Source organism: Homo sapiens, chromosome 1, assembly GCF_000001405.40.
Source record: "Homo sapiens chromosome 1, GRCh38.p14 Primary Assembly".
NCBI classification, from domain to species: Eukaryota; Metazoa; Chordata; class Mammalia; order Primates; family Hominidae; genus Homo; species Homo sapiens.
In genome coordinates this window covers 215,984,429-216,012,137 of record NC_000001.11, presented here as the reverse complement: position 1 = coordinate 216,012,137, position 27,709 = coordinate 215,984,429, and the positions used below count along the sequence as shown (strand labels likewise).

The 27,709-nt window shown below is 37.9% G+C and overlaps 1 protein-coding gene across 1 annotated transcript in view; it reads left to right on the top strand.

The window, feature by feature from the left end:
- USH2A (usherin) overlaps positions 1-27,709 on the top strand; it is an 800,558-nt gene that overhangs the window by 411,311 nt on the left and 361,538 nt on the right. The window contains exons 33-35 of the mRNA NM_206933.4: positions 11,576-11,735; positions 13,080-13,251; positions 18,971-19,118. Coding sequence (NP_996816.3) covers positions 11,576-11,735; positions 13,080-13,251; positions 18,971-19,118 — 480 coding nt within the window. The remainder of the gene's footprint in view (positions 1-11,575; positions 11,736-13,079; positions 13,252-18,970; positions 19,119-27,709) is intronic.

The following is a 27,709-nucleotide window of genomic DNA, read 5'->3' as shown; positions in this document are numbered from 1 at the left end:
GTGGGCGCCTGTAGTCCCAGCTACTGGGGAGGCTGAGGCAGGAGAATGGCGTGAACCCGGGAAGCGGAGCTTGCAGTGAGCCGAGATTGCGCCACTGCAGTCCGCAGTCCGGCCTGGGCGACAGAGCGAGACTCCGTCTCAAAAAAAAAAAAAAAAAAAAAAAAAATCAAGCGTGATCAGGCTGAGGAACAGGAAAGAAGGAAATATGGGGAAATGGGGTGAATGTCAGGTGGATCAGAGAGATACAGTCTTGGGTGTCAGGTGTGGTATCAGGAATAATGTGGGAGGCTGGATTGAAGTCCGGGCCAGGAACAATGGTAATTGTGGGACTTAACAAAGAGTGAGTACAGCTGAAGGAGCCGTGGAGCAGAAAGTATATGCGTCAGGTATGAGGAAGAAAATAGATTTTGGAAATTATGAGAAATGTAGAGAGTAAGTTGAGCATAGTTTGTGATTTTGAGGGCCTCTAAAGTATTAGGGCTGCAGCAGCCGCTGCACGGAGACATGATGGCTAGGCTAAAACAGTAAGGTCAAGTTGTTTGGACAGAAAGGCTACAGGGTGTGGTCCTGGCTCTTGTGTAAGAATTCTGACCGCACTAACCATGCCTATGAAGGAAAGGAATTGTTGTTTTGTAAGGGATTGAGGTTTGGGAGATTAATCAGACACGATCAGCAGGGAGAGCACATGTGTTTTTATGAGAATTATGCTGAGATAGGTAACAGATGAGGATGAAATTTGGGCTTGATTGAAGTAATGGGGGCTATCTGTGAAGCTTTGAAGTACAGCCCAGGTAATTTGCTGAGCCTAATGGGTGTCAGGGTCAGTCCAAGTGAAAGCAAAGAGAGGCTGGGATGACGGGTGCAAAGGAATAGTAAAGAAAGCATATTTGAGATCCAGAACAGAATAATGGATTGTGGAGGGAGGTATTGAGGATAGGAGAGTATACGGGTTTGGCACCATGGGGTGGATAGGCAAAACAATTTGGTTGATAAGGCATAGATCCTGAACTAACTTGTAAGGCTTGTCTGGTTTTAGGACAGGTAAAATGGGGGAATTGTAAGGAGAGTTTATAGGCTTTAAAAGGCCATGCTGTAGCAGGCGGGTGATAACAGGCTTTAATCCTTTCAAAGCATGCTGTGAGGTGGGATATTGGCATTGAGAGGGGTAAGGGTGATTAGGTTTTAATGAGATGTTAAGGGGCGCATGATCCGTCGCCAAGGAGGGAGTAGAGGTATCTTATACTTGTGGGTTAAGGTCGGGGGATACAAGAGGAGGACGCAAAGGAGGCTTTGGATTGGGAAGAGGGGCAGCAATGAGATGTAGCTGTAGTCCAGGAATAGTCAGGGAAGCAGATAATTTAGTTAAAGTGTCTCAGCCTAATAAGGGAACTGGGCAGGTGGGGATAACTAAAAAGGAGTGCTTAAAAGAGTATTGTCTATGTTGGCACCAGAGTTGGAGAGTTTTAAGAGGTTTAGAAGCCTGGCCGTCAATACCTGCAACAGTTATGGAGGCAAGGGAAACAGGCCCTTGAAAAGAAGGTGATGTGGAGTGAGTAGCCTCCGTATTGATTAAGAAGGGGATGGACTTACCCTCCACTGTGAGAGTTACCTAAAGCTCGGCATCCGTGATGGTCTAGGGGGCTTCCAAGGCGATCGGGCAGTGTCAGTCTTCAGCCACTAAGCCGAGAAGGGGTCAGTCAGAGAACCTTGGGCCAGAGTTCCAGGGGCTCTGGGAGTGGCTGCCAGGTGAGCTGAACAGTCCGATTTCCAGTGGGGTCCGGCACAGATGGGACGTGGCTTAGGAGGAATCCTGGGCTGCAGGAATTCCCTGGCCTGGTGGCCAGATTTCTGGCACTTGTAGCAAGCTCCTGGAGGAGGAGGTTCTGGAGGAAGGCCTGGCCGCTGCAGTTCAGGCATTTGGAAGTTCTTGTGTGCTGGAGATGTGGCTGGGGTTCGTCTCACAGTGGAGGCAAGGAATTGCAACTTTTTTCTATTATTGTACACCTTGAAGGCGAGGTTAATTAAATCCTGTTGTGGGGTTTGAGGGCCAGAATTTAATTTTTGGAGTTTTATTTAATGTCGGGAGCAGATTGGGTAATAAAATGTATATTGAGTATAAGACAGCCTTTTGACTTTTTAGGGTCTAGGGCTGTAAAGCTTCTCAGGGTTGATGCCGAGCGACCATGAACTGGGCTGGATTTTTATATTTGATGAAAAACAGCCTAAACGCTATCTGATTTGGGATAAAGAAAAAGGAGCATTAACCTTGACTATGCCTTTAGCTCTAGCCACCTTTTTAAGAGTAAATTGCTGGTCAGGTTGGGGAGGGCTAGTCATGGAACGAAACTGTAAGCCGGACTGGGTGTAAGGAGGGGAGGTGATAAAAGGATTATAGGGTGGAGGAGCGGAGGCTGAGGAAGAATTGGGACCTAGCTTGGCCTGGCGAGGAGCAGTCTGGGGAGGAGGGGAGAGGTCAGATGGGTCTGTAGAAAAGGAAGGTTAGAAAGACTCAGCCACGCTTGGACGCTTGGGGTTGAGACTGAGGGGACAGGTGGGAGGGAAAGAAGGAAGATTTGGGACGAGTTGCACTGGGCACAGAGACTAGGAAGGGACCGATGTGTAAAAGAATGCCTAGACGTCAGGCACCTCAGACCGTTTGCCTATTTTATGACAAGAATTATTTAGATCTTGCAGGATGAAAAAATTGAAAGTGCTGTTTTCTGGCTATTTGGAACTACTGTTGAGTTTGTATTGTGGTCAAGCGGTATTGCAGAAGAAAATAAGACACTTAGATTTTAGGTCAAGTGAGAGTTGAAGAGGTTTTAAGTTCTTAAAAACACAGGCTAAGGGAGAAGAAGGAATGGAGGGTGGAAGGTTGCCCATAGTGAAGGAAGCAAGCCCAGAGAAAAGAGAGAGTAGAGACACGGAGGGAAGGGGTTCAGGGGTTCTTACCCTCCAGAAAAGTGGGAAAGAGGTTGGGGCATGGAAATAAGGGATTGGGGCACAGAGATATAAGAGGTCAGGGTGTGGAAATAAGGGATTGGGGTGCAGAGATAAGAGGTCGGGGCACAGAAATAAGGTATTGGGGCACAGAGATACGAGGTTGGGATATTTGCCCCTCCCCCAGAAAAGTGGGACTTGCTGCTAAGGGTGAAGGAGAAGAGGTTGGGGGTTTCTTGCCCCCCAGAAAGGCAGAGAAGGGGTGAATAATCAGAGAGGCGTCCCTGCAATGATTAAACACCAAGGGAAGGCTCCTTCCCAGTCCGTGACTGGCGCCAGAGTTTTGGGTCCACGGATGAAACATGTCTCCTTTGTCTTTACCAGAAAATGAAAGGAATTGAAATTAAGAGAAGGGAGAGATTGAAGAGTGGAAAGGAGAAAGTGGTTGAGGGATAGTGAGAAAGGTTGGAGAAGAGAGTAAGAAGAGGTTGCTTACCCAATTTAAAATTGGTGAGATGTCCCTTGGGCTGGTGGGTCTGAGGACCTGAGGTCGTAGGTGGATCTTTTTCACAGAGCAAAGAACAGGAGGACAGGGGATTGATCTCCCAAGGGAGGTCCCCCGATCCGAGTCACGGCACCAAATTTCATGTGCGTCCATGTGAAGAGACCACCAAACAGGCTTTGTGTGAGCAACATGGCTGTTTATTTCACCTGGGTGCAAGTGGGCTGAGTCCGAAAAGAGAGTCAGCGAAGGGAGATAGGGGTGGGGCCGTTTTATAGGATTTGGGTAGGTAAAGGAAAATTACAGTCAAAGGGGGGTTGTTCTCTGGAGGCCAGAGTGGGGGTCACAAGGTACTCAGTGGGGGAGCTTTTGAGCCAGGATGAGCCAGGAGAAGGAATTTCACAAGACAATGTCATCAGTTAAGGCAGGAACAGGCCATTTTCACTTCTTTCATGGTGGAATGTCAGCAGTTAAGGCAGGAACCGGCCATCTGGATGTGTACGTGCAGGTCACAGGGGATATGATGGCTTAGCTTGGGCTCAGAGGCCTGACAGTGACGACATAGCAGTCAGATTTCCCAAACCAGAAATCTGACCTAACAAACTACTTTTTTGGTGTGAATTAGCTTATCTTAAAAACTTAGAAAACATTTCAATTGTACCTAGGTTCTGAAAATCTTGTCTGTGTGGTTATGATAAGCATAGGTGAGGTGCTGGTTGAGTATGTGGCATTCATAAATTTCAGTCTTCAAGACATATATGTATGTCTCTATCTCTGTGTACAGTTATGATTTTATTTCTATAATTCAGTTTAATATCTGACTTTACTCCCATGCAACTTAGTAGTAAGTAAATCACAGTCACTTTGGGGGTCCCCCCACCTCTACTAATTATGTAAAAGCTTCTGGGGTCTTACCTAGTTCCTTAGCATCTGGAGTGTGGCCACCCAGGATGCTTTCTTTCTCTGTGCAAAGGGATAACTATTGAGACAACCCTTCCACATTCAGTGGGTATCCTCAGTGCTTCTACATCACACTTGGGCAACTGAAATCTTTACAAGGTTTTCTGTGGCCCTGCCTGAATACAGACACCAAAGTCTTTCTTTTTGCTCTGGTCTTGCCCCCGACCTGGGACTCTACCTTGAAAACAGGGGTCAGGGCCCCTCCTTCAGAGAGCTTGCACATTTCTACTTCCTTTTATCCTTATTCCATCAGGCAGGGAATTCTGAATTAGGGAAGTGGAAGACTCCATACTTCCTATTTCTCCCAACATTATATCTGAGGGAACAGAGTCTTCCTTCTCTGTTCCCTCAGTCACTCTGTCCAGAAGATTTTTTTGTTTTTTTTTCTGCCTCCTGACCAGTCACATTCTGTTTTACAGAGAAATCTATTTTATAGTTAAATTCTGATTTTATAATTTAATTGAGTGTACTAGTTCGTTTTCATGCTGCTGATAAAGACATACCCGAGACTGTGTAATTTGTAAAGAAAAAGAGGTTTAATGGACTTACAGTTGCATGTGGCTGGGGAGGCCTCACAATCATGGCAGAAGGCAAAAGGCACATCTTACATGGTAGCACACAAGACAGAAATGAGAGCCAAGGGAAAGGGGAAACCCCTTATGGAACCATTAGATCTCATGAGACGTATTCACTACCATGAGAACAGAAGGGGGAAACTGCCCCCATGATTCAATTATCTCCCACCGGGTCCCTCCCACAACATGTGGGAATTATGGGAACTACAATTCAAGATGAGATTTAGGTGGGGACATAGCCAAACCATATCACTGAGAAGCATTTAGATAAAAATTAAATGCAGAAAACATATAGGGTCGGTAGCAGGGAAGGACGGAAGAAATAAAATAGGTTAGTATGACAATCAGATTGATCTCAGTACCCATTGAACAAATCCTGAGCATTGTAGGAGTTTAGAAGAGGAAGCTCTAAGGGCTTCAATGTAAACCCTTACTTGGTTCCTCAAGAGAATTGTCCAAACTATGAAAGGAGAAGAAGGAAAAACAAATCAATATAATGAAGAGAGTCACAAAGGAACAACATAATTATGGCTGAAAAGTTCCAAAAGCCCAGTTCAAACTGGAAAACCTGAAATTATACTAGACTCTTTCAGTGTGTTCAGTGACATCTCTCGGAAACATCTTAGAGATATGAGAAGTATTAGAGACATAAGATGATAAGATTTATCCAGAAGTGGGAACTGGGATAGCCATATAGAAGAGGACTGGGGATGTGAAGAACCCTATGTGACCCAGGGAGTATGGCTTTGTAATGGATGATCAAATTTCATTGATGAGGGAAATGAAACTATTGAAAATATCTGGGAATAAGAAGGTACCAAGAGACTGGACATTGTGTAGCGGCATAGGAGTGATTGCATTGATGTGACAAGTGGAAGAGGTGGGAAGTAACCAGTTTGTGGTCAGAGAGTGCAGGATTTAGATTTAGAATCTTGGAAATCATTCTGAAGATTATGAAGTAGTAGGTGTAACTATGCTGAATGTTGAATAAATGAAGTAGAGGTGAAGGGCATTGCATTTGAGGAAGTTAAAGTAAAGCCAGATTCAGAGATGAGTCATTATTGAGGATGTTAGAGTTGCCAAAAAGGGATTATGATTGAAAAGAAAACTGAGCCAATGCTGAAGTCATAGAGGAGAGAAGCAGTGTGACCGGAGATGTGATGGGGGCATGCGTTAACTAGGTTGGGGCATATCTTCTTTTAAATAATGGATTGATATTAACTATGGCTATTTTTTCTCCATCTATGATATAAATATATATCACAAAAAATTTGAAAAATATATGTAACAAAAATTAAATCCTCTATATGCACTCACTCAGAAAAACATTGTTAACATTTGGTTTACCACTATCTCCTGTTTTGTTTTTATTTTTTTTATTGTTTCTTTCTTTTACAATGAAGCACTGGTACTTTAAAATTATGTTTTGGCATTCAGACAGGTACAGCTTTGCCTTTTTCTCGTATTTAATGGTAAATCTCCTTTGTCTTACAACTATAGACCCCTACATTGGCCCAACAATTATATTCATTATATTCTTGGAGACTTTAAAACATGTTTAGACATTACTATATTTCTGAGAAAAAAAAATGGCAGCCTGGGTAGAGGGCATGGGGATATCCTTCTGGTCTTGCTCATTCATTTACAACAAGTAAAATTATGCGAGTTAGTCATCACACCATTCCTGGAGATATCCTGCTGAACATGATAAAAAATATTTATCTGAACTCAAGAAGTTTACATTCTCCTGGGAAGGATATAATATCAAGATATAAATGAAAAGGCAATATTGAACTTGTTTTAGTAATTATGATATGGAACTAAACAAGGTGATATAACAAGAACCTGGGGATGATGGTGGCCATATTGTTCAATTATCAAGAAAGACCACTCATAGAAGGATGAAGCTGAAGCATAAGAAAGAGCAATCCAAGTACAAAGAGAGAGAAAATAGATTTCAGTCAGAAGGAGCAGCACCTGCAAAGGCCCAGAAGTGTGAACTTGTTGTGTTAGAAGAACAGAATAATGTCTAGTCTAGTGTATGAAAAAAATAGGGAGAATGTTACATCAAATAGGATCTCATTGACCATTATTAGATTTCGTTCTAAGAGCAGAAGAAGGGTACTACAGGGTGTTACTCTGAAGAATCAAAAGATCACTCATGGTAAATGGTCTTGTTTTCTTCATTGGGAAAATTGAAGTAGTTAGAGGATAATGCCCATAGACTCTGCTACCATCTACCCACCTACCAGTATTGGCACCCACATAGTCTGCATCCCCTCCCATTACTATAGATTGTCTCTGTTCCAAGTTCAACTCTTTCACTTTTGAACTAGATTCTCCTCTTTCACATATTCAAGGACAAAACTCCAGCAATTTTTTTCTCTTTCATCCACTTCATAGTTTTCCCTTCACTAGTGGGTCATCCCATCACATACAACAAATTTTTCTCTCATTTAAATTACTTTAAAAATCTTCTCTTGATTCTACTTACCTTTTATCTATTGCTACATTTATCTGTTCTCCTTTACCACAAAACTTTTTGAAAATGTTCTTTTATTCACTGTTTCTAATTCCTCTTCTATTTCCTTATAAGCCCACTTAAGTCAGGCTTTAGTGCTGACAAGTTCACTGAAACTTCAATTGTGCAATTACTGATGACTGCCATATTGTTATACCCGATGGCCGATTTTTAATTCTCATCTTATTTCACCTTTAACTCTTAAAAATTACTTCCTTTGACTTTCAAGACACCATAATCTCAATGTTTTCCTCATACCTTACTGGTCACTCTCTGTCTCCTTGGTTGATTTCTCCTTTACTCATTGGCCTCATATGTTGGTATCCCAGGGTTTTCTCTTTTATATCTATTCTCACTCCGTTTGCACTCCTAGCCATCTATATGATGATGACTTACCAAATTATATATCTCAAGCCATGAACTCTTCCTGTAATTCCAAACTTCTGTTCAAATATCCTGACAATCTCCTCTTGGTTATCTAACTAACATAGCAAATGTCTAATTGACATTCATTATATGAATTCTTATCTTCCCCTCCATGCCTTCCTCAACCAATAAAATGGTTACTTTATCCTTCCCTTTGCTCAGGTCAAAAGCCTTGGAGTCAACTCTGGGTCTTCTCTTTCATACTCTACCTACAATGCACTGGGAAATCCTGTTAGCTTTGCCTTTAAAACATATTCAGAATTTAACCATTTCTTACTTGATTATTACTGGCCCCCACTTACTTGATATTACAAATAGCCTCTTCAGTGAGATGTATTCTTATGCTCTTGCTCACTACCATCTATACGTCTGGCAGCCAGGATGATACTCATGAAGTCCATGTTTGATTGCATGACAGCTCTGTTCAAAATCCTTAGTGTCTTCCTAAGTAGAACCTCTTAGATTAAAAACCAAAATTCTTACAAAGACCTACAAGGCCTGCATGAACTGACCCCTCATTAAATCTCTAATATCATCTCTAACTTACTTCTTCCTAATTTGTTCTGCTCCAGCCACCTCAGCCTCCCTGCTAGTCCTCAAGAGTGTCAGGCATGTCCCTCCTTCCACAGCTTTGCTCTGCTTGTTCCCTCTCTTGGAATGGTCCAACCCAAAAATTCCCATAACTTTTACACTCATCCCCACTTCAGGTCTTTGCTCAAAATGCCACCTTCCCAATGAGGCCTCTGCTGACTCTTAACTATTAAAATTACCCAGAACTTCTAATTCTCCTTCCTCTGTTCTGTGTTTTCTGCAGCAGTTTTCATGTAATGCAGCATGAACATCTTAAACTCCGTTACACATTCACTTTAAAGACATGCTATCTTCTAAAATGCAACACCTTTCTTACCCATAAACTTCATAATACCTTGGATAATCTAGAGGCAAACCCTAACTAGGGATGGAGGATTTGACAAGCTCAACTAAACTATTTCTATTTCAATCCTGGCTCACTAGCCATTCTAACCCTCTCAAGCAACATGAGAGGTATACTTGTTCTAAGTATACTCACTTCCCATCCTGACCGCCCCCTGCCCCAGTCCCAGTTGTTATAGAAACGGACACTTCCCACTCCATGGAAGAATCCGGGCACGGATAACAAATCCTGAACTAATTGCTTCAGGAAGCTCCTTCCATCTGAGGCGGATATTCTGGGTGGGTTTAGGGCTTAGGTGATCATAGTCACCTTCAACGCATGCAGTTTATAGGGGAAAGGTGAGTGGGGCACTCTGTGATAAGCAGACACTGCGATATGTGATAATATGATGATGCATTCTTGAGATACCTAAGTCCTACCTTGAGATACCTAAGTTCCAGATATGCAAGTCTGTACCATGGAAACATACGCAAGCAAGCATCGGGCCTTTTTGAATGGAGTAACTTCTTCACCACCTACAAGTTGGGTAGCTAAATCCCCACCCCAGCAAAGTAGAATGTAAGAAAGAAGGAAAACCTATCCCACTCCAAAGAGTTCACTGGCCAAAGAATTTTGTAGCATCCAATCTCGGTTGCGGCTGACCAAGACAATCTGATATGGCTATTATATATTTCAAGGTCACGTGGATTTGGCCACATGGAATATAATTTCTGGCTGGAGCATGTTCTTTCAGAAAGTTGGATGTGTTCTCAGTTGAAACACTATAGGTTTTCTCCAATTGCACTGAATTACCCATCAGGAATTCCTCTAAGCTTGGTGACCTCCTTGGTTTTGCTCCTGCAACGGGACTTAGAGTCAAATCCCCAGCTTCTCTTTTTCAGGGAGGACAAGGAATTCAGACAGATGAGAACAATGAGAGAGAGAAAGGTCACCAGAGAGCGAAGATGAAGAGAACAGAGGAATGGCAGATACAATATGTTAGCATATAAACACATTATAATTTTGGCCAAGATTGGCCCTGTCGGTAGGAGTTTTTCTTTGCATAAAGTTTTCTCTCAGTAAATAATAGTCTACTCTCTCGGTAGCATCTGAGGCCACTGCTGTAATGATTTTTTAACTTCATAAGTTTCCTAGAACGTTGGTCCAAATGAAGGCACCCCAGTTATGTCTCAGTCGTGTACCTATAGTGCGACTGTTGCTGCCATCTCTCAGCAGTCCCTGGCAATGCCACACTGCTTCACCATCAGCTTCAAAGTGTCCTTGAAGTATATATTCTGACTACATTGAATGGGAGTGCCCCATCTCAACTTGCAACCATTGGATTCCTGTAGGATAGAATTTGTAAAGAAAACAAGGTTTAATCAAAAGCATTAAGAGTCTCTTCTTGTTGACAACTTTTTGTTCTAAGGTAACCATATTTACTGTAAATTATTTTTTTAATCTCTCTTCTAGTGACCTACATGTTTAACCAATTGATTGTACTTTGCATGAAAATCAAAGTGTTCTTTCCCCAGTTTACTTTTGTTATCAGTGCAATGCAAAATCTGTTTGCCTGAATTAGGTTGCATTTCATTAATCTCTTCAATATGAAATTGTGGTGGCTCATGGTTAATGAGATTTAAGAATCTGTGTTACTTAAATTGTGACTAACTTATTTTAAAAGTATGTCAGAAAATAATGATTGTTTCTAGTAGTGTTAAAGTATTAATGATTAGTAAGTCTTGGTACACCTGACTGAACTTTGGTTAGATTACCAAGTGTAATGAAGTGTTCAGGATATTTCAGAATTGAGTTAGTATATTACAGATTAGTTTAATCTAATACAAGAGAATGTGGTATCTATTAGAAAGACAGACAATATAAAATACCAGGGAAGTTCAGGGGAGGGAGAGATTCTTTCAGCCTAGGGCACTACCCTAGTCTCATGGTCATCTTTCAGACCTAGCTCGTTTCATTCATTAATTATTCATTCATTCAAACACACATATTCAAAACCTACAATGTGCCAGGTATTGTGCTACATACTAAGGATGCAAAATGAATATATTACCATTCCTGCTCTTAAGGTATTTAGTGTATCATATAGTCATGACACAGTGTTTTTAAGTGTTAAGCTAAAAGTATGTACAAAGAGAAAGAGAAGAGGCTAATAGCTCCATCTTGTGCTGGGGTGACAGCAAGGAGTGTTAGGGACATCACAAGGAAGAAACAGGCATCTGCACTGCACCTCGACAATTTGAAGGTCAAATAATAGTCAGGTGGTGGACAGGAGAAGAATGGAATCTGACAAACGGAATTACAAGCTCAAAGTCATTGTTACAAGCTATGTATTGGCATTTCAAAGGCAACTCCTGTTGTCTTCAAATATGCTTTAAAATAATTTAAACATCTCATTTATTTTTAAACAGAGCCATTGAACTAAGACTAAACTTAGCAAATGATTTACCTGGTCACAGACGTTCAAGAAAACAGTAAAACTGTTAAAATGAAAAAGTCAAAACAAGAGTTTGATTGACACTTGTCTATTTAAACATAACCAAAGTATATTTAAGGGATGAAGCATCCTATATGTTATTGCTATTGATTTTTATGGCTATTTATTCATATTTTAAGCCTTATCTTAACAATTCTCTGAGATAGGACTATAGTGGAGGAGTGAAATCTCCTCAATAAGAAGTATAATGCTGAGTAAATTCTTGTTTCTCCCTATCCCCTAGATTTAGCAGTATTTACACCCCACCAGTTTCTACTAAGTGCATGCACACATGTGGGCTGTACAAACAGTTCCTGGGTCCTACTGTACACAGCACAGCTGCCACCAGAACACGTGGATTCCCCAGTTCTGACTGTCCTGGATTCTAGAACTATACACATACAGTAAGTAGAAATGTTGTCTCTCTCACATGCTGGTTCATGCAAGAATCTCAGTGAGTTCAATCAGGGGAGGAGCTTGTGACATAAAATTAATTTTATTGTGATTAAATGCATAGAAGTGATTAGTTCAGTGGATCTGGGAACCTTTGATTATCACTTGCCAGCCTAATTTCCATTTTGTCTTTATGCAATCAGGCTGAGCTACATAGGTACACAGATTCCATGCAAACTTCAATAAACAAAAAACTGACCACTTTCATGACTGCCTTGAATATTTTATGTTTGGGGCATTATTTGTAATAATTTGGAATTAGAAAGTATGTATATCTTTTTGAGTATAGTCCAGGACCTTCTTATTCCCTTATTACCTGCAGTTGATGTCAGAAAGGAAGTTTCACATATAGGCATGTTCTGATGATTTCTGGTATTACTGATTCTTGTCCATTTCCTGATACCTGAGGTATAAGGTGTACTATTGTGCTGAGCTAAAATCTAATAGGTCTCTCTTATCAAGAGTTAATACTTGTTCATATTTATCTCTTCTGGACTCAGTTTTCTTATCTGTAAAATAAGAGTTTAGACTAAATGAATTCTGACATTTATTCAAGCCGAAAAATATTATGATTCAGATCTCATTGTTCCATGTCTAAATTCTCCTGTTGGCTTCATTGTGCCCCTAAGCCAAGCCACGTTACTTAGCCAAAAAGATTTCCCACGACTCAGGTGTTTCTCAGCTTAACAATTTCCTGTCTGTTCTATGACTTGCCCTTCTCATTTCCACTGCTAAGTTGTAACCCTCATCTGAAATGCCCTCTGTTCTTCCTTCTACCTATCCAAATCCAATCCATCTGTTAAGAATAAAATCTTATGTATCTAAGTAGTGTGTCACTTCATTCAAGAAGTCCTGCCTGATTTTTTCAGCCCTTCCAGTCATCAATTTCACTGTTTTCTCTAATTACATATTAACCCTGTGTTGGATTCCTGGATTTTCCAGGACAATTATATTATTCCCTCTTTTCCCCATATCTAAGTTCTCAGAAGTTCTGCTTCTGAAGTTTTTGTTCTACAGCTTAAATTCAAAATAAATACTCGCTTATACATTTTTGTATTGTTAGCTAATTAAAATTACAGGTAACCAGATGGCAGGAGCCATATCACATTTCCTTTTTGCCCCTCAGAATAGGCATTGGATAACTACTTCAGTGTTTTATTTTAAATGAATCAATTTTGAGATTTATGTTTTTTAAAAAAGTGTCACAAATCCAAGTTCAAATGTGTCCTTTGAAAATCCTGTATATTTTAGTTTTGACTTGAATGAATGATAATAATGTATTTTACCATTCCCAGGTGGAAACAACCAAGAAAAATAAGTGGGATTCTGGAACGCTATGTATTATATATGTCAAACCATACACATGATTTTACAATTTGGAGTGTCATCTATAACAGTACAGAACTTTTCCAGGATCATATGCTACAATACGTTTTACCTGGTAATAAATATCTCATCAAGCTGGGAGTAAGTTTATTTCCATCACTTTCTCTGTCCCCATTCCTTCCACTTCTTCTCCCCTTCCCGTGGTCCATCTTTTCTTTCTCTCTCACTTAAAAAAAAAAAAGTCAAAATCTTCATGTATTGCTGTTTATACTGAAAACTCTCTTCCCATCCTAAATGTGAATTCTGGTGATCTAATACCTACACATTTATTTTATATTATGCAAATGATAGAATAACACCCTGAGTCAGTAGATTTTCCCAAGTCAAAGTTGGGATTATCAAGATTTTCAAAATTACTTGTAGAACATCATAATTGTTAAGAACTTTTTCTAAAGTGCTAGGATTCATAAGGTTATTTCCCTGTGGCATTTGTATTCATTTAAAAAACAATGCACAGTATGAAAATTTAGATCTTATATTTTTAAATGGAAGTTTAAATGACCGTCAAATATTCTTGATTGTTATTACATTCTGGTTTATATTATGCTCCTATCTCAGAAGAACAGTCACTTAATAAAACCCCAGAATCAACATAGTTTAGAGGTTCCCTTAGACAAACAATAGCATTTTTTAAATGCAAAAATAGCACTTTTACACAAAGGTCTTTTAAAAGACCTTGATATTACTGTGGAATTTATACTCAGTAATTCCTTTTGTTTTTTGATGAAATATAATCTTTTTTAAGTTTAATAGCACGTCTGAAAATAACTGAATATAAACATGAGATTGTCCCTATTTGTTTTAAACACACTCTTCATTTTATAGCAATACCTATATAAGGATATTTGCTTTGATAAATGCCATAGAAAATATTCTGCTCTTGATTATGAATAAATTTACATTTATGTAGACACTGTGTATGCATTCATTTTACTTAACATGCTCTTGAATGCTCTAAATATTATACCATGAGAAAATAAACTACACTCAACTATTGCTAACTGTCTGACTTAACACCACAAAACAAGGGCAATCAGACAGTGGTTAAAAAAATACTGTTCAAAACTGACTCCATGTGCCTAGGTGTTCTGCACAGCAGTTTATGAAACAGCACTTTGGTTATGTACAGTTTTATTACCCATTAAGTAAGAAATATACTAACTTGATTTTCAAATGCTAACACAGAAATACAAACTATTTTCAAAATAATGGTAGTATCAAAATTAGGAAGAGTCTTAATTTTTTGGAAGCAACCAAAACTAAACCAAAAATTGTGCTCTTGGTTGTTTATCAGAAGTAGGCAAATGACATAGAACAGATTCTCTTCCTAGGGCCGTTTTTAGGATGTGCTGTGCAGTCAATCAATTCATATCAATCTCCTAGATTTTATAAATCTATAATACCTTGAAAAATACATACTAGTAGATTAGGAGTCCTCTGCCCTGAGTATTAATTCAGATTTTACTACAAACTGTGTGACCTAAGGCAAATTCACTTAACCTCACTGAGTTTTATTTTCTTCAAGTCTAAAATTAGAACATTGAACTAAATGATGTTTAATGTCTCTGAGCCATAAAATTCTATGATGCTAAAAAAAGTAATCCCAAACACTATTCTATGGAGTCAAATGCTATCTGTCAGCCGCTGAATAGTGTTGATGCAAGATGTTATAAAGATGTGAAAATCCTTGCCTTAACTCTTGGTAGGGAAATAAACTTGCTCACATTATTTTCAAGTTCACTATATTTATTAGGGCAGAAAATAATATATTTTCAGGGAGGATTCAACTAACAGGGTTTTTACTTAACTCTGTTAAGCAGTAAATTAAATGAACCAGAACATTTTAGGTTCATCCTGGTTAATTGAGGGATTATTGTATATTTCACAGTTTCAATATAATAACTGGCTTTCAAGGTCATTAGATTAGTAGATCGAGAGCAGGTTCTCAGCAAAGTGGAGTTGCCTTTATAGATCATTTTAGCATGTCGACTAAGAGCTGGAAAACAAAACATAAAGATAACAAAGCCTTTAAGCAGCATTTGGAATAGAGGAAGCTACACGGGGATTTGAACCACTATGATTTACCCTAGGCTTGGAGCAGGTATGTTACTTCATGTAACGTCATTTAGTTTTCACATTTGACTGGATTATAAACTGCTGAAACATAAGGACTGAATCTTTCAAAATTTGATCTGCAGTTTCAAGCACAGGGCCTATTGGAAATGGGAAGCTGAGCAAACAATTCCTGAATGAATGATCACCAAGGACATCATTTCATAAAGGTTCTAAGACTTTTGATATGAATTAAATAATTTGCTTGGAAACACTGGAATTAGGAATGGTGTGGTTCCAAAACATACTCTTTCCACTGCAAAAAAAAAAAAAAAAAAAAAAAAAAAAAAAAAAACATAATATGTTGCTACTCTCAACAAAGGCTATTTTGAAATGTGATAAAATGTGATAGCTCCTAATAAAGAAGACAATATGTTAAAAATAAAATAAAGAAGCTATTAATACAGACAGCTATCAAGACAGGTGTTGCTTGATAATTTTCATACCACTGCTAGCCATTTGTAACTTGATGAATTCTAAGTATTATATATTCCTGAAAGATTCCTGGAAGTGGCTTCACTTTTTAAGTAATTATGGATCAAGTGGCCTTTTTCTTTTTCTTCGTGCTTTAAAATATGTTGCACTCTTAACATCCCCAATCCCTGTGGACCTGAAAACTTACTGGAAAAGAGAATGCTAGTTTTGGTCCGGGCACACTGGCTTACATCTGTAGTCTCAGCACTTTGGGAGGCCCAGGTGGGCAGACCAGTTGAGGCCAGGAGTTCAAGACCAGCCTGGCCAACATGGCGAAAACCCATCTCTACTTAAAATACAAAGAATAGCCGGGTGTGGTGCTGCAAGCATATAATCCCAGCTACTCGGGAGGCTGAGGTACGATAATCCCTTGAACCCGAGAGGCAGAGGTTGCAGTGATCTGAGATCTGCCACTGCACTCCAGCCTGGGCAATACAGCAAGACTCCATCTCAACAACAACAAAAAAAGAGAATGCTAGTTTTGGATTGTCTTAATAGTCATGATTTCAAAAATAATTGATAAAATTTTATTATTTATGCATTTTATTGTACCAAAATTGAATCCCTTATTTGGCCAGATGTTACTCATCATTTCAAGGCAGAGTTATGCCTTTATGAATTTTTCAAAATGGCTGTAACTGAGAAAAGCTATAGGCGATGGTTAAAACAACTTATTTTAATGGCTCTCAGGCTTTCAAAGACCTTGCTATTTCATAAAGGCATTTTTAATCAACCCCACTATTTTGTTTAGTTTTTCCAGACCAGAATTTTAATCAGCATTCAGCTGTATTGAATGTAGTGGCCTCTGGTGCGGGCAGGTCAAACAAGATACTGATTGGTTCAATTTCATTTAGATGATGTCAGATTAGACCAATTGGAAGCAGCTTTAAGAACATTTATTTTCCCATCAAAGGAACTAAGATAATGTCCTGCTTACTTAGGACCCTCTAAATGCATCCAAAAAGAATGTGGGCAAAACAAAATAAAATAATTTGCAGGTAATTCTGTTATTTCAGCAGCCTCTTTATAAATAATTTCATTTACAAGAAAAATGCTTTCATAAATGCCTTACATTCTTAAGAGATTTCTTTGTCAAGTTACTGGTTTATGGATCTCAGATGACATAGTAGATGAAACAGTCCTTCTAAACCAAAGGATGCTTTTACTTATCCTAGAAGACATCATAAAATCCTCAAAGTAAATTTTAATTCACACTGTGTTTTAAAAATATATACTTATATGTTGTATAGTATAGAATTTATTTGGGGAGAGTTAGCAGGGGAAATATTTTAGTATACAAATAAGAAAAAAATAGTGACAAGTAGACTATCAGAATTAAATCCCAGTGTGTTACAAGTTTAACAATAAGAAGCTGCAACATTTTTCCCTTCTAAGGAAAAAAAATCTGAAAAATGCAAATGGATGGATTTTTTTTCTCCCTGAGAAGTGGGAAAAATTTGTCTTTGACCATTTTTCCTTTGATAACTCAGCTGTCTCATATGGCCTCTTTTCCTGCCATATTTTCTGGTGGACTTTTAGCACATTTGAAATGTCTGGGGTCTTCAACTTTTTTTCTATTTTAATCGTTGGGCAATTATTTTTTGAGCTCACAGTGACCTGTCCTAAAGCTTTGAGTCAGAGTTTGGCCACATTTGCAAAGATTCCATTCTCTAGAGGAGTATGGTTTTTTTCTTGCACAGAAAGGCACATGCCACAGCTGAGAATTAGAGGAAACCCACAGAGGTTAATTAGGTACCCAATCTTAATGCAATTTTCATGCTCAGGCCACAATTTAACCCATCTGAAAGTTGCTTAATTAAGCTGGTAAGAAATTATCCTGAAGACATGGGCTATTGCTATAGTCTTGTAATAGCAAGTGAGATTAATTTCCATGTTTGTTGACCATAAACTGTTGTTTATGCTTATAATGAAGAATTTGCAACTAGTTGCAACAACTTTGCAAATAGTAGTGTACTCCCATATTTAAAAAAAAAATCTAAAAATCAGTCAGCTTCCTTCTGTCTTTGGGGAAAAGAATATCGACTACTTTAAGAATCACAAAATCACTCACTCAGTATCAAACTGAAAAATCAGAGAGACGCCTAAAGAAAGAGATGCTTTAATTTTTTATCTTAGTAATATCTGTCTTACACAAAAATGAGCTAAATATCTCTGCTTTTTTACATTGTCTTATGATTTTGCTTTATTTTCTTTTTGATTTTGGTAAAATTTAGTGCCTTTTGAAAGATTTTTAAACTTTGTTGTATCAATTGAAATTGTAACTTGAAGAGATACTGAACCAAGCTTAAGTATAGTTTTCAAATATCATTGTTATATAAGGATATAATTACTAATATTTGCTAGCAAATATGGGCTGAAAACCCCTTAATGTATTTATCAATTTCCTGGAGAAGTGCTTGTCCAGTAAGTTTAAAACATTATTTGCAGTTTATTATGAAATTGCACACGGAAGTTTCTGTAACATTCATGTTACCATTTCTGACATTAGTGATACTTAATTAGGGAACAGAGAGTTCTGTGATCATGTTAAATTTGTCAAACATGTTTTAATGAAGCCTATCTACTCTGACACATAAGTAAATTATGTGATCCTTTAAGCCATTAAACATTCACTCAAAAATTGCTTTGTATTTGTTGTTTTATGAGAAACATTGTTTTATTTAATTTTATTTGGTGTTATGCTATAAACATATTGGTCACACTGTAGAAATAAAAGGCAATTGTATTTGCTGCACATCTTTTCTTCCCTAGAAGTCAGTTGTTTTGTCTTAAAGTAGTCTTCATCCTCTAGTACTTTACTTATGTTATGTGTACACATGCTGTGTGTGTGTGTGTGTGTGTGTGTGTGTGTTTAATTCACTCTGGGAACCTTTGTGCAAGGCTAACTTCAGCAGGGCTGTTTATCCAGTCAATATATGCCCTACATCTCTAGGCTCTGACTTAAGATGCTTCCTTAATTCATACATTCATACCATCTCAGTTATTCTCTAACTATTGGGGATGGCTATCTTATGTCTTAAAAAGCAAATTAAATAAATGTTAAATCTTAACACTGAAATGAATTTATTTTGGGGAAGTAAAGGTAGCACTATATAACAAAATCTGAAACTCTTATTATGAATTCTCTTTCCTCAATGTTCATGAAAACTTTTGGGACCAAGAGTGAAATGAGCATTTTTGCATCTCTGTTTAGGCTTGCACAGGTGGTGGGTGCACAGTGAGTGAGGCCAGTGAGGCCCTAACTGACGAGGACATACCCGAAGGCGTGCCAGCCCCCAAAGCCCACTCATATTCACCTGACTCCTTTAATGTCTCCTGGACTGAGCCTGAATATCCGAATGGTAAGTGAACTCTTTTAGCCTCAAGTTAAAAAGATGATTAGCAAAGGTAAATTAATATTCTAAATGGCAGCTTATATGTGGTGCTTAATTTTTAATGATCATTTTAGCACATAAAATACCTAAGATAGTATCATTGTCTCTAGTTGGGGAGATTGTGGTTTTTAGGCTAACACACAATTTTGGTGGCTCAAAAGTGCTCCCTTTTGATAGTTTTTGTGTACTGCATCTCATTGTTTAATATGCTCCAGGAGAGGTGAAGAGAGCAAACGGGGAGGATTCCCAAAGAATGCCGTAGTGAGAGTGACATTGTATTTTCAATGACTTTCTGTTTTTAAAAGCCATTAGTTCTTCCTTGGCGAAGGAGAGAGGTGGAAAGTTCATGTACATATTGTGTCAAAACGCTTTTGATTTAATAAGTTTATCTTAAAAGAGGCCACTTGGAACTCTGTATTTTTTAATATACTATTTATAAATATTTCAACATGCTGTTTTTAAACAATGCATAGATTAAACATACATATATTTATACATATTTAGCTGGAGGCAAGTTTTGTGCATTTCTAAGCAATATATATGTTTTTGTACAGTTTAGTGAATTAAGCTAGTCAGTTACGTTTCACTAAAATAAAATCTCATTATGAAGAATTTGTAATAGTTTTGGGTAGAAATTGCTTTATTCATTTAGTGGAAATATCTTTAAGGTTCATATAACATAGTACCATTGTTTCACACTGATGGAAGCTTACTTGACATTAAATTTCATTCCTCTTTGAGACAAATATCAAGAAGACTTTTAATATAGAAACTCTTTTAAGAAACTCATTACTGAAAATTGAAATGGGCTCTTTTAGCACAGCCAAAAAGAATGAAAGAAAAAAGTTACAGTTTTATTAGTTTGTCTTATGTTTACTATGATATTAATTATTCCAGCCATCTCATTTTAATTAAACTTTTGGCAAATGCACTAGATATATTTGAGGTAATGGAGAGAATTCTAATAATCAGAGTGAATTATTATCTCTGCTATTGAAGTTATTCCTGTACTATTACAAATTTTCCAAGAAAAAATAAATGGATGCCTATTTGATACCATATTAAGCAATCAACAATCTTGTTATGCTTCTTACTTCACAAAGTACCCTAGTTCATAGATGACAATGAAAATGTTAATGATTTATTTCAATTGGATTGCTGTGAAATGCTGTTACATGATTTGCATAGTAGAGCACTTCCCTTCATCCCAATTGGTTAATACAACTAGAACTACAATTGCTCTCAGAATCTTCAGCTGTTCAGGGAAACATTTTCCACATTACAAAGCTCTTTGAATGTTTTGTGTATTTGCGTATGTTTTGTATATTTGCAAGCAGTTTTAAAATGTACTCATCAAGCAAGAAGAATTTGGGAGATTTTGGAGATTTGTATTGACACTTCCATGGTATTCCAAAGTCTTGTGTTTAATTAGAGTGGGATTTTTAGAACTTTAATTGTGGTACAATGGTTAGACATTTAAAAGGCAGTTTTATTTTTTTTAAAACGACTTTTTTTGTTTTTACTACTTCTCCCCACTTTCCCCCAATTTTTTAGCTTTTTGTTTCTCTTGTTGATTGTCTAGAGAGGGATAATCTGATTGTTGGAAAACATCTTGTCTCTCCATCTGTCTTCGAAGTCCCCACACCTCTCCTCAAATACCCAAAGAATAAAGTCTAAATTTTTTAGTCTGGTATTCAGGTTACTACCAACTTGTGACTCAACCTGAATACACATTGCCTTATAACATATCTTCCTTTCTAGCCATGCTGGAATATTTATGGCTTAATGTTGGGTTGGAAAACATGGGTGGAGTCAAATAGGCCTAGAGTCAAAAATTGTTTCTGATGTATAGTGACTGTGTTACCTCAGGAAATTCATTAACTTCCATGGACCCCAATTTCCTTGATTAGAAAATTGAGATTAACAGGCTGGGCCTGGTGGCTCACGCCTGTAATCCCAGCACTTTGGGAGGCTGAGGGGGGTGGATCATGAGGTCAGGAGATCGAGACCATCCTGGCTAACACAGCGAAACTCCGTCTCTACTAAAAATACAAAAAATTAGCCGGGCATAGTGGCAGGTGCCTGTAGTCCCAGCTACTCAGGAGGGTGAGGCAGGAGAATGGCATAAACCTGGGAGGCGGAGCTTGCGGTGAGCCGAGATCACACCACTGCACTCCAGCCTGGGTGACAGAGTGAGACTCCATCTCAAAAAAAAAAAAAAAAAAAGGAAAATTAAGATTAACAATCCCTGTCATCACCCTGTCCTTACCTGTAGAAATACAACTCATTCTTCTAGGCTAACCGTAGGCCTCTTATTCCATGAAATCATTCTACTCTTCCTTAAGTTTAAAGTAAACTTTCCCTCTTCTCTTGACTATGTGAACTGTTTCTATGCCTTCATAATGGAACTTCATTCAGCCTGTGCTTAAAGTTATTTGCGTATATGTCAAACACTCCCACCAGATGCTAAGGACCATAAATCATTAATTTCTCTTTCACTCCGCAGAGCCTAACACAATGTTCTACTTTTTATTGGTACGCAATAATATTTAATTCATTTAATGTTTCTTGTGGAAATTACCTTTGATCAGTGGCATATATACTCCAAAGCCCTGGCTCTTTAATGATACCAAGAGAGATGATAGAAGTACTTACCATCCAGTGTCTGCAATATATTTGTTCAAAATGCATTTGTTCCTAAAATATATTTTTCTAGCTGTGTAGATTCTGAGGCTGGGTTTCTCTTTTGAGAATACCGATCTTGCATTTGACCAAAGAATTTTTAATTTTCTTTTCTGGATTATGCCCAATTCAAAGTTAATGGTACCAGGCTCACATGGCAATATATGCTACCTAATGGTTGCTTTCTAATTTCTGAATATGCTGCTGAAGAGAAATACAATTGGAGAATAAGATAGACTTCATTCTTGTGTAACTAAATAAACCCTTTCAAAAGATTTTAAATGGTATTTCTCAAACTTATCTGATTCTTAGAACAATCTTGGGAGCACCAATTGAATAAGTAGATTCTAGGCTCCACCACAGACCTCCTAAATAATCAGAATCTTCCACTGCCTCGGTTATCATCAAAATACCCCTGGGTATTTACTACATTTTCCAACTGAGACCTCTCACAAAATCCTCCCCCTGGATTTTTGTTACATCTTAAACCCAGCATATCCAAGTTGATTTCTCCTCATGGTCTCCATCTCTCTGCTTGCTCTTTCTCCTGTATTCCCTCTCTCATGGATTTGCACCACCCAGCCCTGCCAGCCAGTATACTGGGCAGCAGTCTTCACCTTAAACCTTGCTCACCCCTGACTGCTGTCACCACACAACCCCTCGACTGCACTTCTCTAGTGAAGGCCATTAATATTGCTCACCCAGATCGCTTCAGGAGCCTCCTCATGCCATGCAAAAAATTTGCATTTGTTCATTCAAAATATGTATTTTGATGACCTACTAGGTTCCTTCACTCTTATCTATACAGTGCATTTCCTTGCTTCTTGATCTCAAGGATATCAGAGTCCTCGGGGAAAATATCCATATAAATGAATTCTCACAAGGTGGGGAGGTGCACAAGGTGCCAGGTACACAGAGAAGCAGCTCCTAGTGGTTCCCTATGAGATGTGGACATGTCATCCCTCTGCATCCTCACGAAGATGTTGCAGGACCAGATATAGACATGTGTTTAGTCTGAAACAGGTATTACTTGCCTGGTTTTGCACACTCAGGTTTCAAAATCTTGACTCTGTTAATCAGTTATGTACCTAAAGGTATGTTTGTTCACTAGGGATTTATAAACATGAACAAAGACTTGTTGAGAAAAATTAAACTCAATTTCTATAATGAGAACTAGGTATATTTTTATGCTTGCCTATATATGACAAAATATGAAAGGTATAAAAAGTTCTAATATAAATGTCCAGTCCTTGCCAATCAAACAATTGGTAGCCTTTGGCCAGCGTGGCTTAGGAAACATTCTGTCCTTGTCATAACTGATTCTGACTTAAATGATCATCTCCTACTCGTGAAAGTCTGATGGTAATCCTTAACCAATGCTTTAAGAAAAGATCCTCTCCCCTTGTTATTTCAGTTCTCTTCCTTGTCTCCCAGCCTGGTCCTGCTCCACAGTGTCTGTGCTGGAAAGCTTGCTAGTTGGTTCAGTACATACTTCATGAGCCCTGAGAATTTTTCCTAATTTGGTGTCTTTTGTTCAGCAGTGTACCAGCAGCTCCAAGAATAGTGCCTGAGACATAATAATTGCTCAGTTAAAAAATTGTTGATTACCATTATTAAAGAAAAAAACAGAAAACAACATGTTCTGGAAAGGATGTGGAGAAACTGGAACCCTTAAATACTGTTGGTGGGAATATTAAATGGTGCATCTGCTATGAAAAGTAGTGTAGAGGTTCCTCAAATAATTAATAATAGAATTATTAGATGATGTAGCAATCCCACTTCTTGAAATATATCCAAAAGAATTGGAAACAAGATGCATTGCAGCATTATTCACGGTAGCTACGAGGTGCAAACAACCTAAGTGTCTATGGACAGATAAGTAGATAAGCAAAATGTGATATATTTACACAATGGCATATCACTCGGCCTTAAAAAGAAGGAAGTCCTGTCATACAATATGCTCTGGATGAAACTTGAGGAGATTATGGTAAATGAAATAAGCCACTCACAAAAAGACAAATACTGCATGATTGCACTTACGTGAGTTTATCTATAGTAGTTGAATGCACAGAAACAGAAATTAGAATTACGGTTACCAAGGTCTGGGTGGAAGGGGGAAATGGAGAGTTGCTGTTCAATGGGTTTAGAGCTTCAGTTTTCCAAGACGAAAAAGTTCTACAACTCTGTTGCACAACCACGTGTATGTAGATAACACAATGGTACACTTAAAATGGTTAAGATGCCCAATTTTACGTTGTGCTTTTTACTGTAATAAAAAAAAGATACAGAGAGGATGTAATAAAATGCTATAAACTAAACTAGAAAAAAAGATTAAGAACAGTGTTAGTTTAAAACAAAAAAAAATTGCTGATTAATAATCACATAGAGATCTATGCATGAAGTATGCATTTTTTAAACAAGGGTGAGCTCATACTATTTGAGTTGTTGTGGAATTTACTTTTCTCACTTCACAATATGGTGCAAACATCTTTCCTTGCAGTTCAGTGGAACGTGACCTCATTCTTTCAAAAGGCAGTATGCAATCCCACTGAATGAAACTACAGCTTACAAGACCCATCTTTTTATTGATGGACATTTCTGTGGTTTTTGCTATTACAAACAAGGTTACTTGCTATTAATTGCCTCAGTCTGCCAAGTACAGTCTTTAAGTACTGAGTCATTATCACTTGATTCACACCTAAGGCTTTGCTTGCCTTCAAATATGTCCTGCTTAATTCTAGTCCCTTGCTTCACATACCTGCAAAAATGATGGTGTGACACTCCAGCTCTGTTTCTCTAATCAGAGTCCTTTGCACCCACGTTCCCTCTGGCAAAGGTGTTCTTTACAGGCTGTGATTTCAGACATGATTTTAAAACCGCTGAAAAGAGCGACTTTTAGGTCCAAGGTCTATAGGAACCCTTATTATGTAGGACCTTGACGCTTCCTTTGTAAGACCATTAGCTATCACAGAGAAGTAGCACAAAGGATTACTGTCTAATACATTTGTGACCTGTATTGTGTAGATTGCAATTGCGTAATTAAAGTTCTGCTTTTGAGAGCTTCCAAATTCTCATGAGCCATATTCCTTTTTAGAAGCTTAGGCCTTAGAATCCTGAAATATGTTTTTTCTTCACACTTCAAGTCTACCTTGCTAAAACAGCATAGCTATCTGACTATGCCAAACTTATTCGTCATTATCTAGCATAACATTTACAGTGACATTTTAAACTAATTAGAATATGTGTTTTTTTTAAATACTAACTAAAAATATAGAATATAAAATGTTTATCTTTTATTAATAGCTATAATTCCTTGTAACTAACCTCTATCTTTACCTAAGTAAATCGACCTAAAATAGTTTCTTTATTAGACTGAGCCCCATGAGGGCAGGAATCATATGTATCTTTTTCACTGCCCTAGTCCTGGCCTTTGGCAGAGTGCCACGGAGTAGAGGCATCTTATAAAGCTGTCGAATGAATTAATATTTACCGATGATAGGGACAATACCAAAATTGTAATAGTGTTGATGTGAGAAGCATATTCATATGCAATCATACAACATACACAAATGCACACTGTGAGCACATTTGATGATTATGTAATATAGGTGGGATGATTTCAAAGACAGCAGAGAGGAATCTTCCTCTTGGCCTGCTGAAGGCTTAAAGCACACACTTAGAGACCTAGTCCTTTTGCTTAAGATTTCATCAGCCTGGTAATCTGTAGATTTCCTAATGAAAGACAGCACATAGACTTGTCTTGTTTGTGCTCTGCATGTCTCAGTATGAAAGGATATGTTTTTACTGTGGTCAGGATTTGTTAATAACCACATGGGCATAATTAAGAGAGAAGCATGTGGCTGGGCGTGGTGGCTCACCCCTGTAATCCCAGCAATTTGGGAGGTCGAGGTGGGCAAATCACCTGAGCCTGGGAGTTCAAGACCAGCCTAGGAAACATGATGAAACCCTGTCTCTACCAAAAAAAAAAAAAAAAGAAAAAGAAAAAAGAAAAAAAAAATTAGCCAGGCGTGGTAGTGTGTGCCTGTAGTCCCAGCTACTTGGGAGGCTGGGGCATGAGAATCGCTTGAACGTGGGAGGCAGGGTTTGCAGTGAACCACAATTGTGACACTGCACTTCAGCCTGGGTGACAGAGTGAGACCACGTCTAAAACAAAAAAGAGAGAGAGGGAGAAGCATGAGAGCTGGGCACCCATTAGACATGGTCTAGCATCTTCTTGAGAAGTGAAGGGGACCTGAGAAGCTTATGGAAATATTTTCCTAATTTAGTCTTTCATATTGGCCCATCTTTGTGAGAATTTATATGTGAACATATGTCAAAATGGTGGCAATCATGTCAAAAATAATAGAAACATCTTAGCAGGTTGATTATTTTTGTAGACTTACACGTAGTACCTTGAAGACAATAGAACGTTATTTAAAAAAAACATTTGGCTCAGTGTTTTGAGCTTATATATTCTGTCAATAATGGGTGGTAGAGAAATCAATTAACTATAGGTCTCTTATACACACTCTATACATGTTGTCCTTCACATTAAGAGATGATGCTATAGAAATAAGTTTTCATAATGTATGCACATGAAGATATATGTATAAATACAAATTAAATATTCTATGCATGCATAGAAATAAATACTTGATTTCCTGTTAACAATAATAACATTAGTAATAATAATAATAGCTATAATTTATAAGAATTTGCCAGGCACTTTAATTCCCATAACTAGCCCATGAAATAGGTATTGTTATCTCACAAATGTGGAAACTTAGATTTATAAGTATTAAACAGTTTAATTATTCAAAATCAAGACAGCTGGTTAAGCAGAAAGATTGTATAAATCAAAGCAAGGTGTGAATGACAAAAATTCACGGTTTTATTCACTATATTATCTGCCTCTACTTTTTGTAGAAAGGCTTATAATGTAGAATTTAATCTAGCTGTATGAAAACAAAATTTTGTTACTTTTACTTGTTCAATGTCCTGTTCTTAGTGCCAATATTTAAAATTCATAAGATCTGTGTTCTGGTTTTTCTCTGGTTTTGGAGAGATAACTGTTTGATATTTCATTTGATTTTCTTACTTTTTATTTTAAAATAACTTTATTTTTAAATGGTCAAAATGTGATTCTATTTTCTTTCCTGGAAATGCTCAGTTTTAATAAGTGAAATGGATTATAGAACTCAGCGAATCACTTAGGAAAACTGCTTGACAGTTTTGAGCAAACCTTGCGTAACTTTTATGAAACACCTCCAGTCAGTTTGTCAGGTAGAATTTCCCAAGCACAGTCTTTTTTAGATTCCGTTGATTCCATTTTTAGGAGAGCATAACAGTAATAAGGCATTATCCCGCAATGTGAAAGCTCTTCTCTCTTTTCCTTTTTAATTGAAGGATCAAGTATTCACACAGGGAGATATCTGCCACATTCAATCAGCATCTGGACCTTGAGGGGAGCCCTCAGTTCATATTCCTATTGCCATGCTGCACTGGAAAAGACAAACAAATATGTTTGGAGCATCTATATTCACTACACATGTTATTTTTATGACACACTAAAGCATTGTTGTTTAATTCTTACAGTAAACACAATTCTTCAGCGTAAATAGAGATACCTTGTATTAAATTTACATTGTATTGTACTTGCATTGAATTTCCTTGGTTATATATGACAACCTATTGAGCACCTTAGGAAATACAATTTGACATAACATGATGAAGAGGCACAAAGATATATATCCCAGTGGATATGCTTTATGGACAATTATCATCCAGCTTCCCTGTGAAAATTAAACACCTTAAAAACCCTATCATTATGGAAACAGAAAGGTGATAAACTTGAAACTCCTTCTGTTGTACAGCCA